At 54.1% G+C, this 11057-nt stretch overlaps 1 annotated feature.

Moving 5' to 3' along the window:
- Nucleotides 3610–4371: an enhancer, noted in NCBI's record as "H3K27ac-H3K4me1 hESC enhancer chr20:62025225-62025986 (GRCh37/hg19 assembly coordinates)". NCBI's record gives its function as "activates a minimal SCP1, AML or CMV promoter by ChIP-STARR-seq in naive H9 embryonic stem cells {active_cell/tissue: H9 hESC(naive)}" and the evidence as "EXISTENCE:reporter gene assay evidence [ECO:0000049][PMID:30033119]".

The raw sequence follows: 11057 nt of genomic DNA, 5'->3' as shown, positions 1-11057 counted from the left end.
AGGGACAGGCGAACAGAAACGCCTGCTCAAGACTCGGGGCACTTGTGCTGGGAGGAGGGCGCTAGGGACGTGCGGGGCCCCCCAGGGCAGCTGCCCCGGGCCATTGCTGGGCTGTGCACGGATGGTGACTGGGGGAGGGCACAGTGGGGCAGAGCTTCACGCCGCTGTCCCTAGGGGCATCCATCGCCAACGAGGACAGGGCCAGGGCGGGTCATCTCTCCATCAGCCCGAGGTGGCGGGTGGGTGCCCGGCTGGCGCCCTTCAGCCAGCGTCCCTCCAGCCTGGCACTGCTCAGCAGGGTGCTCTGGAAGACCTCTCTTGACCATCCTGGCTAGCTTCGGGGCCCATTCCTGACGGAGGAGCAGAGGGCAGCTGGTGTGGGCCCCTCAGAACTGGAGCTGTGGGAGGACCCGGAGCTCGCCATGCACACCCAGCATCCCATGGTGACCCAGTTTTGGCTCTGGGTCTGAATGGGCTTCCCAGGGCACGTTAACTTGGACTGGGAGGGCAAACTGGCTTCCGGGAAGTTCCGATGCCTGGGAGGAGACCGTGGCTGGAGCTGGGGGCCCGCCGCCAGACAGGGTGGGGGGCAGGATGAGCACTTGAGGGAGGGTGCTCTGGGTGCAGGGCTGAGTCCTACTTAACAAACACACCTGGCCATGGGACAGCTGTGGAAAGAAAGGCAGGAACAAGCGTGGTGAGCGCGTGCAGACGCGGGAGCCCAGCGCTGCTGATGGGGAGGTGACATGGCGCAGCCGCTGCAGAGAACACACAGGCAGCGGCTCCTCCAAACATTCCGCATAAAATTACCAGACGACCCAGCAACCCCACGTCGGGGCACAGGCCCCCAACACCTGAACGCGGGGTCTGGCCGAGACGTGCACACCCAGGTAGGCAGCAGCGTCATTCACGAGAGGCAGAGGCAGCCCAGGAGGATGAGCCAGCGTGGTCCATCTGTGCCATGGAATTTACTCAGCCTCAGGAGGAGAGAAATCCTGACACAGGCCACAACACTGACAACCTTGAGGACATTTTACAAAGTGAAATAAGCCGGTCGCAAAAGGGCAAACACTGTACAATTCTACCTGTAGGATGTATTAGAGTAGCCGGATTCAGATTCAGAGAGACGGATGGTAGGACGATTCCACCTCTAGGAGGTGTTAGAGTAGCCGGGTTCAGAGACGGATGGTAGGAGGTGGGTGCCAGGGGCTGGGAAGGAGAAATGGGGGTGAGTGTTTAATGGGGGCAGAGTCTCAGTTTGGGAAGATGAAAGTCCTGGAGATGGACGGTGGCAAAGTTCACACAACAGTGGGAATGTGCTGTACTTAAACCACTGAACTTCATGCTTTAAATGGTGATGATGGTACATTTTATGCTGTGTATTTCACAATTTAAACAAACGACAAGGGCAGAGCCCTCTTCCTCCTGGGCTGGGTCTTGGCCAGCAGAGGGGACCTTGACAAGCCCATGGTCATCTCCTTGGGGCCCAAAACTGGGCTTAGCAGCTATAAGAACTTTGTCAGTTTTGAGCATACTGAGGCCTGGGCGCTGGGCCGGGGATTCCAGGGCTCCCTCATCCTTCATGGCCTGGAGGTCTTGGAATCACCTTCTGGCACTTCCCAGATGGCCTCATCCTGTGTCCAGTGTGGACATGCCAGCACAGCCCCGCTCCAGCCCCTGTCCCGGTCAGCTCCTGCTCCTCACTCTCTGCCCCTCCATCACCTTCCACACCCGGGAGCTGACCCCACACAGCCCTGCGCCTGGTCCACACCCTCCTCGCCTCCTTCCCCTGGCTCTGGGGCGGTACCACTGTGCTGTAGGAAGGGCCCACAGCATCAACCTGCTGGTTTGAAGAATTGGAAACTGAGGCCCAAAAGTAGAACAAGGGGGCCCAGGGAAATAGCCAGTCTGTGGGCAGAACCCGGAGTCTGGCCGCCCGCGGTCCCCACTCCTGGCAGGACTCAGAACCACCAGGTCACCAGGGGTCCCTGAGGGGCAGACAACAGGCACCTCTCACCTTCCAGCACCCACCTGCCCCAACCACCAACCTCAGATGTCCACACCACTGAGAGACCCAGGTGCTCTCAAAGGCGGAACAGGAGTTCACTGAGGAGGAGCCCCTAAGACACACACCAGTTGTAAGCACCTGGATCTTCTCAGACCAACCCACAAGCTGCCGGTTTAAGGATTCTAACCGGAAGCTTCTTCCGTGTGTACAGAGCTGGGCTTCCGCACTTGCTCCTGTGAGCTTGTCTGTCCAGGACCTCCTGCAGCCCCTCCACCCGGCCAGGCCCGCACCTCCTCCTGCAGCCCCTCCCCTCCACTGGGCCCGCACCTCCTCCTGCAGCCCCGGCCGCCTCCTCCCTCATGGCTGCTGCCCGCGGACCCCCCAACTGTGGTGCTCCTTGCCCTGAAGTCTGCATGGCCCACGGGAAAATCCCAGCAGCACTGGGACCCTCCGAGGGCGGCTCTCTATGCCATCCCCATACCTGCCTTCTTCCCTCTCTACTCTCTTCTAGAACCTTCCTGAACTTCCTGGCCCCTCCCAGTCCACCTCCAGCCCCGCCTCCTCCTTGGAGCCCCCCAGTTACCCTGAACCAGTGCCCCCTACACCGCCCCCCGTCCCCTGCCTGGAGCTGCGTCCTGCGGGTGTTGGTTCTGTTTCCATCCGCTCCCCCTCCTTCCCTCCAGCCGGGGCCATGTCCCCAGGCTTGGGGATTCTCTGACAGTGACCACCGGAAAGTCCCAGCACCCAAGCTTGGCTGAGTCCTTGGGAGCCCTACCCGGCTGCAGCCGTGTCTGCTTTAATAAAATGCAAAACACTTCATTTCTTTTTCAATTTAAAAGGAAAATGGTTCATCTCAAGAGTTCATCTCAGGAGACAAGGACTGTGCCGAGTGTCGCCTCCTGCCTGGAGTGACCCTGGGCGGGGACCCCTGGGTCTGCCGTCAGCCAGCAGAGAGAGGGAGCTGCACCAGCCTCTCACATGAGCAGGAGCACCTATGGAGCACCTGCTGCATGCAGTGGGGGCAGGGAAAGAGGTGAGGCCGCACCTGCTGGAGGGGGACTGAAGGGCGAGCAGGGTCTGGGGGTGGCTCTGAGGGTGGAGAGCACACGGCGCCCGGTCTCTCCGCAATGCCATCCTTCGTGGCCCTGGATGTGCTCCCTGCCTCGGATGTCACCTCGTGCCTCTCTGCGTGCCGGGTTGGTCCCTGCAGCCTCATGAGGAGTGGTCGCTTGGCCTCGGTTTGGCCTGCACTGTCCTCCGGCCTCACGTGGCCTTGTCTTCACACCCAGCGTGGTCATGTCTTGGGAGCCCGTCACCCACGCACGCCTCAGGGTGGAGCCCCCGCCTGGACTCAGGACCCCGGGCACCACACCCAGGCGGTGGCCCCAGACCCTCCCCTGTCCAAACAGGAGATCTCTCATAATGCAGCCAGGTGGTGTCCGGGGGACTGAGGCCCACCAGCGCCTCCGCCTTTTCCCGGCCTGATGGCGAATTCTGGTGCTGCTTCCTCAGCCTTGGCTCAGATGCCATCCTGCCGCTGCAGGATTTGCCTTCTGCTCTGCATCCTGGCTCTGTCATCAGCAGCCCTGGTCTCAAGGGGAGGCCCCCTGGGCGCACCAGCTCCCGCGTGTCTCAGAGGCTATGCAGACAAGAGTCCCTGGACTGGGCTGTGTTTGCTGGGGCTCCTTCCCTCCAGCGACGAGTCCCCAGATCATCTCCCGGGTGTGCCTCAGTTCTCAAAGGTCCTGGCAGCCCCTCTGCGCCAGGCAGTGGCCGCACGCCAGCAGCCTCCTCCCACAGCCCAGGAGCTGGAGGAAACAGCTCAGCCAAGCCGCGCCACCAGCTAGAGCCGGGACTCCCTCCTTGACATTCAGAGCTGCTAAGTTTTCCTGCGCACGGTTGGTTTGACATTTGCATTGGAATGGATTTATGTTAACTTCCTCCCTGCTGCTGGCCGGAGACCAAATCCTGCTGGTTGCTCAGGCAGTGATCCCCGGATGGGCCACCTGCCTCATTGCCTGCCCTGCCAGAGGGAGGCTCTGGGACCTGAGACCACCCAGGCGCAGACTTGGTGCTGTGTAGCTCATGGAGCGGCCCCGCCTCTGCTCCCACCGAGCCCTCCAGCCCCCTTGTCTTGGAAGGACGCAGCTCCCCTTCCTGGCCCTCCCCCAACCCCAAGTCCTCGCCCAAGCGCTGCTTCCTCTATGAAGCTTCCCTGAGCGGCCCTCTTGGAGGGTCACTGTTCCCTGGCAAATTCTGACCACACCTGGCTCCTCCATCATTTCATGGACGCAGCCCTGGTCAGCTCCACTTGGGTCGGGGCTGACGTGGCTCATTCCCTTGCACCCCAGCACAGCGCAGGACAGGCTATTCAGCTGGTGTCCAGTCCGCCTGTGCTGTATGCTCCCTGCAGCCGGGAGCAGCCACCACGCATCCATCCACCCTTCCGTCCTCCCTGAGGGCTGGCACTGCCTCCCGGATCCTGCCGCGTACACAGCAGGTGCAGAATGGGTGCTCGCTAACTCCATGGGACGACGGGGTGTCAAACCTGCAGCCACCAGCTTCTGACGGGAGATTTGCTGAGAGCCTGCAAGTCCCACGGGCCTACTGGGGGGCTGTGCACAGAGAGCCTAGGGGGCCATGGCCCAGCCCTGGCACTCCCCGCCCACAGCAATTATTGCCCCAGGAGCCAGGCCCAGCCTGCACCTCCACACCGGCCCTGCTCCTTCCTCCTCTAGGTCCAGGCCCCAGGAGCCAGGCCCAGCCTGCGCCCCCACACCGGCCCTGCTCCTTCCTCCTCTGGGCCCAGGCCCCAGGAGCCAGGCCCAGCCTGCGCCCCCACACCGGCCCTGCTCCTTCCTCCTCTAGGTCCAGGCCCCAGGAGCCAGGCCCAGCCTGCGCCCCCACACCGGCCCTGCTCCTTCCTCCTCTGGGCCCAGGCCCCAGGAGCTGGGCCCAGGCCCCAGGAGCCAGGCCCAGCCTGCGCCCCCACAATGGCCCTGCTCCTTCCTCCTCTAGGCCCAGGCGCCCGCCTGACACATGTCCACCATGTTCACCTTGCCTGTGTCACACATGAGAAGACTGAGACTCAGTGAGGGCCCAGCAGAGCGGGTGGAGCTGGTCAGCCCGGCTGTGCCCTGACATGTGGGGGTGGGGGGTGTGGAATCCTAATGAGGGAAAAGGAGTCGGGCTGGCAGGACAGAGGGAAGGCAAAAAGAAGAAGCAAAGAAGCTTTAAGTCTGCCCTTCTTCACTGTCCAGGACACACAGCCCTCCTGAAGAAATAACTCACAATCTTCCTGTGCCCGGCTATTGCCAGACCCTTGGCTGATAGGAGAATGGATGTTAGCTGACTGCAACCTTGGCGTTATCAGTACTGCCTGTGGCCCTCTCCAGCACACAGCACAGGCGCCGTCCTATAACATCCCCAGCAAGCCCTCATTTCTTTGCAGTGGCTCCTCCCTTGCTGACCTGCCCCTTGCTTCGGCTCCTCCCTTGCTGACCTGCCCCTTGCTTCGGCTCCTCCCTTGCTGACCTGCCCCTTGCTTCGGCTCCTCCCTTGCTGACCTGCCCCTTGCTTCGGCTCCTCCCTTGCTGACCTGCCCGTTGCTTCTGTGCTATGCACATTTTCTACTTTCTCTAATAAATCTGCCTTTCTTTACCTACAACTGTTTTGGTAAATTCTTTTTATGGCCCACACAACACCAGCCCCAGATGGTCACTACCCAAGATGGGGTCACTTCCTGCCATAGGTGAATGGGTGAGGTCCCAGGATCCAGCACAGGCCAGCGTGGCTGGAGAGTGTGTGTGTGGAGGCAGGTGCTTCCGCAACCCTGTGCCTTCTCAGGGGTGGCGGGCTTTGCCTGGGCTGCCCTGAGGAGCGCTGAATCTGAGGAGGGCAGAGTGAGGGGAGCATGGAGGAGCCCCTGTAGGGGTTTGGGAGGAGCCACAGGCCCCAGTGCCCCCCAGCCCCTGCTCAGCCCTCAAGATGTAGCCAGGAGGTGGAGGTCTGTGGGCCACACCTGTGTTCTTCCTTCTGTGCTTGTGAGACCCCCACCCTCCACAGTGCAGGCTAGGCCAGAGGGAACCTGAGGGGCCTCTTTAAGTGGCAGGCTGGGTGCTGTGGCCTCCGTGGGGATGTGGGCGCTGCTCAGAGGACTGTCTGTCTGCCCGGGGACCAACCTGGACCTTCCCCTCAGACGGGTCCTGCCAGGACTCTGAGGCCAGGAAACCTGGTCTGCATATACTGTGGGGGCCCCTGGTGTAGTGAAAATGGACAAACAGCACCCAGGAGTTAGAAGGTGAGATGCAGGCAAATGTTCACGTAGAAGAAACGGGTGTGGCAAACTAACGTCTCCAGCGGCAGCCACATGGGTGTATCCCATGTGCTACCCCCACAGTGGGACCTTGCCTTCCCTCCACTGGGAGGTGGGGTCTCCATTTCCTCCCCTTGGGCCCGGGGGCCCAGGTTAGAAGGCACAGGAGTGACACTGCCTGACTCCAAGGCCAGGCCAGGATCCATAGGGCTGCTTCTGCATGGTTGTTTCTCAGGATGCCAACTCCTGGAATCCAGACACCATGCTGTGAGGAAGCCCAGAGGCCACATGGCCATGTGTGTGTCCTGGTCAACAGTTCCAGCTCAGGCCTCTGTCACAGCCTGTACTAGCCCCCGATGCGTGAGTGAATGAGTGCCTTCAAGGCTTATGGCAGAGGCCCTGCACGTTGGGAGTGGAGATCGGCTGCGTGCCGTCCGACTCCTGAGCTGCAGAAACTGAGACGATAAATGGTTATCATTATTTTTAAGCCACTATGTTTTAGCACAATTTGTTACTCAGCAACAGATACACAACGACTCCTCTTTCCTGAACCTGATTGTGTAACACTGGCATTACCCCTTCCTTATATGTCTGTTCGAACTTCCCAGTGGGTTACTCTTTCCTTACACGTTTGTTAGAATTTACCAGTGGAACCATAGGAGCCTAAAATTTTCTTTTTTGAAAGGCTTTTAACTACAAATTCAATTTATTTAATAGGCATAGGACTACCTCGGAAGAGTTTTGGTAGTTTGTGTCTTTCAAGGAATTAGTCCACTTAAGTTGTTGAACCTGGGTGTAGAGTTGTCCCTAGTATTTTTTTATTGTTCCTTTAATAACTAGTATTGAGAGTGAGGTCCCCCTCTTTTGTTCCTGATATAATTTGCATCTTCTTTTTGCAACCGTCTCACTCTGTTGCCCAGGCTGGAGTGCAATGGTGTGATCTCAGCTCACTGCAACCTCTGTCTCCCGGGTCCAAGCGATTCTCCTGCCTCAGCCTCCCGAGTAGCTGCGGTCACAGGTGCCTGCCACCACGTCCGGCTAATTTTTGTATTTTTAGTAGAGACGAGGTTACACCATGTTGGTCAGGCTGGTCTTGAACTCCTGGCCTCAAGTGATCCCCCTGTCTTGGCCTCCCTCAGTGCTGGGATTACAGGCGTGAGCCACCTTGTCCAGCCTTCTTCTTTCTTTTTTTTTTTATTGCTCAGTCTGTCTAAGGTTTATCAATTTTATTTTTTCAAAGAACCAGATTTTGGTTTGGTTGACTTTGTTTTCAATTTCATTGATTTTTTCTGTAATCTTTATTACTTCCTTCCTTCTGCTTTCTTTACGTTTAATTTTCTCTTCATCTTTAGTTTCTTTAGGTAGAAGTTTGGGTTACTTATTTGAAATATTTCTTCTTTTTCTAATAATTTAATACTATAAATTTTCCTCTAAGCACAGCTTTACCTACCTACCACAAATTTTGATGTTATTCTTTACATTTTCATTTCAGTTCAAAATATTTTCAAATTTTTCTTGAGACTTGCTCTTTCATGGATTATTTTAGAGTGTGCTATTCAATTTCCAAATATTTGTGAGACTTCACACATATCGTTATTTAATTCTAGTTTAATTTCTTTATGTTCTAAGACCATACTTTGTATGATTTCTATTCTTTTAAATTTTAAAGTTTGTTTTATGGTCAGAATATAGGCTATCTTGGTGAATCTCCATGTGCATCTGAGAGGAAGGTGCTGCTGGGTCTCTGTGTGTTATTTTGTTTTATACATGTCAGTTAGTTCCAATTAGTTGAGGTTGTTAAGGTCATGTGTATTGTGACTGATATTCTTTTCTTCTTCTTCTTCTTCTTTTTTTTTTTTTGAGTCTCGCTCTGTCTTCCAGGCTGGAGTGCAGTGGCACCATCTGAGCTCACTGCAACCTCTGCCTCCTGGGTTCAAGCGATTCCCCTGCCTCAGCCTCCCGAGTAGCTGGGATCACAGGTGCCCACCACCACACCTGGCTAATTTTTTGTATTTAATAGAGATGGGGTTTCACCATGTTGGCCAAGATGTTACTGATTTTCTACCTAAGTGTTCCATCAGTGACTGCTGGGGGAGTGCTGACGTTTCCAGCTATAACTGTGGATTTCCCAGGTTCTCCTTTTAATTCTCTCAGTGTTTACTTCATGTATTTTGAGACTCTGTTATGAGCTGACTACACATTTAGGATGGTTATGTCTTCTTGGAGAACTGACCTTTTTATCATGAGGTAAGTGTTCCTCTTTATCCCTGATAATATCCTTTGTTCTGAAGCTACTTATTCTGATGTTAACAGAGTTACTCCAGGTTTCTTTGGCTTAGTGTTTATATAGTGTATCTTTTTCCATCTTTCAGCTTTTTACCTATCTTTGTCTTTATACTGAAGGTGACTTTTTTTCACACACCATAGTTAGATATTGTTTCCTAAAATCCAATCCGACAATCTATTTTTAACTGGTGCTTTTAGTTCACTCACATTTATAGTGATTATTGATATGGTTGGATTAAAATCCACCATCTTGCTAGCTATTTTGTATTTGTTCCATTTGGCTCGGTTTCTTCTTGCCTCTTTTTTTTTTTTTAATCTTCTCTTGGAGTAATTGAACAGTCTCAGGTCCTCCTTCACATCCTTTGCAATATTGGGAATTATTGCATATTTTACATTTATAGGTGCTATAAACACAAAATACTTTGCTTCTGTTTTTTGCTTTAGACAGTTAATTATATTTTAGAGCAAGTAAAAGTAAGAAAAAGTAAACTTTATTTTGAATTATTTTACTCAATTTCCAACACTCTTCATTGCTTTGTGTAGAGCCAAGCTGCTGCCTCTGCCCGAAGAATTCCTTCAGCATTTCTTGTCGAGTAGATCTGAGGGCCACGCGTTCCCTCGGGTTTTGTTTGCCAGAGAAAGACTGAATCCTTCAGATTTGGTGGATAGTTTTACTGGCGAATGAATTCTGGGTTGACAGTTTTGTTTTGTTTCTCAGTAATTTAAAGGTGTTACTCCATTGTCTGCTTCCTTGAGTGATTTATGACAAGAAGTCAGCTGTGATTCTTAGATCCTGTTCCTCTATAGATATTGTGTCCCCACCACACCCGCACTCCCAGGCCAATGGATGCCTCCAGGAGTTCTACTTTGCCTTTGGCTTTCTTTTTTTCTTTTTTTGAGATGGAGTCTGGCTCTGTCACCCAGGCTGGAGTGCAGTGGTGAAATCTCAGCTCACTGCAGCCTCTGCCTCCTGGGTTCAAGCAATTCTCGTGCCTCAGCCTCCTGAGTAGCTGGGATTACAGGCGTGCACCACCACATCAGGCTAATTTTTGTCTTTTTAGTAGATGGGGTTTTGCCATGTTGGGCAGGCTGGTCTCGAACTCCTGACCTCAAGTGATCCACCCTCCTCGGCCTCCCAAAGTGCTGGGATTACAGGTGTGAGCCACTGCGCCAGGGCTACCTTTGCCTTTAGTTTTCAAAAGTTTGAATTTGATATGCCTAGGGGCAGTTATTTTTGGTATTTGCCCTACTTAGTGTTAAGTTTTTTAGATGTGTGGCTTAGTGCTTGTCATTAATTTTGAAAAAGATACAGCCATTATTCTCCAAATGGCTCTTCCCTATTTTCTCTTTTCCTTCTGTTCTTGGATGCTCTGCCTTCCCCTCCCTGCTGTGTGTACATGTGCGTGTGTGTGTGTGTGTGGGCATGCACGTGTGTGCACGTGTATGTGTGTGTGTGTGCATGCGCCTGTGTATGTGTGTGGGCACGTATGTGCTTGTGCATGTGTGTGATTAGCGTGTTTGCGTGTGTGGGCATGCACGTGCATGTGCATATGTGTGTGTGGGGGCGTGTGTGTGCGCGTGTGTGTGTGTACGTGTGTGTGCATGTGTGTGTGGGCATGCACGTGTTTGTGCTTGTATGTGCATACATGTGTGGGTGGGTGTGTGCACGTGCGTGTGTGTGCCTGTTTGTGCACGTGTGCATGTATGCGCATCGGGTCTTGCACGTGCACCTGTGACTGTGCATATGCATGCATATGTATGTTTGTGCACGTTTGTACATGTGCGTGCATGTGTGTGCGTACGTACGTGTGTGCATGTGTGGGCGTGCACGTGCATGGTGTGTACTTGTGTGTGCATGCACATATGTATTTGTGTGTGGACATGCACATATATGTGGGTGTGTGGATATGTGTGCATGTGCATGTGTGGGCATGCACATGCATGTGCATATATGCGTGTGTGGGCGTGCATGTGTGTATGCATGTGTGTGGGCGTGCACATGCATGTGCATATATGTGCGTGTGTGGGTGTGCATGTGTGTGCCTGTGTGTGCATATGTGTGTGCGTGTGTGGGCATGCACGTGCGTGTGCGGGTGTGCATGTGCGTGTGCATGTGTGTGCACAAGTTTGTGCATGTGTGGTGTGCATGTGAGTGCATGTTTGTGCATGTGTGGGTGTGCGTGTGTGGGCGTGCACGTGCGTGCATGTGTGTGTGTTGGTTATTAGGTATTGATCTATTCTCATGTTCACTGACCCTTTCCTCCACTGTGTTGCGTCTACTGCCCCATCAAAAGCATTTTTCATCTCTGTAGCCTGGTTTGACGTCTTTCCATCTGGTTCTTTCTTATCGTTTCCATCTCCCTGAGGAAATTACTCATCTCATCTTGTACATCGTCTACGTTTTCCGTTAGAGCCCTTAACATACTACTCAAGGTTATTTAAGTTCCC

Source organism: Homo sapiens, chromosome 20 (genome assembly GCF_000001405.40).
Source record: "Homo sapiens chromosome 20, GRCh38.p14 Primary Assembly".
In the NCBI taxonomy this organism is placed as follows: domain Eukaryota; kingdom Metazoa; phylum Chordata; class Mammalia; order Primates; family Hominidae; genus Homo; species Homo sapiens.
This window is presented reverse-complemented; position numbering and strand designations above follow the sequence as displayed.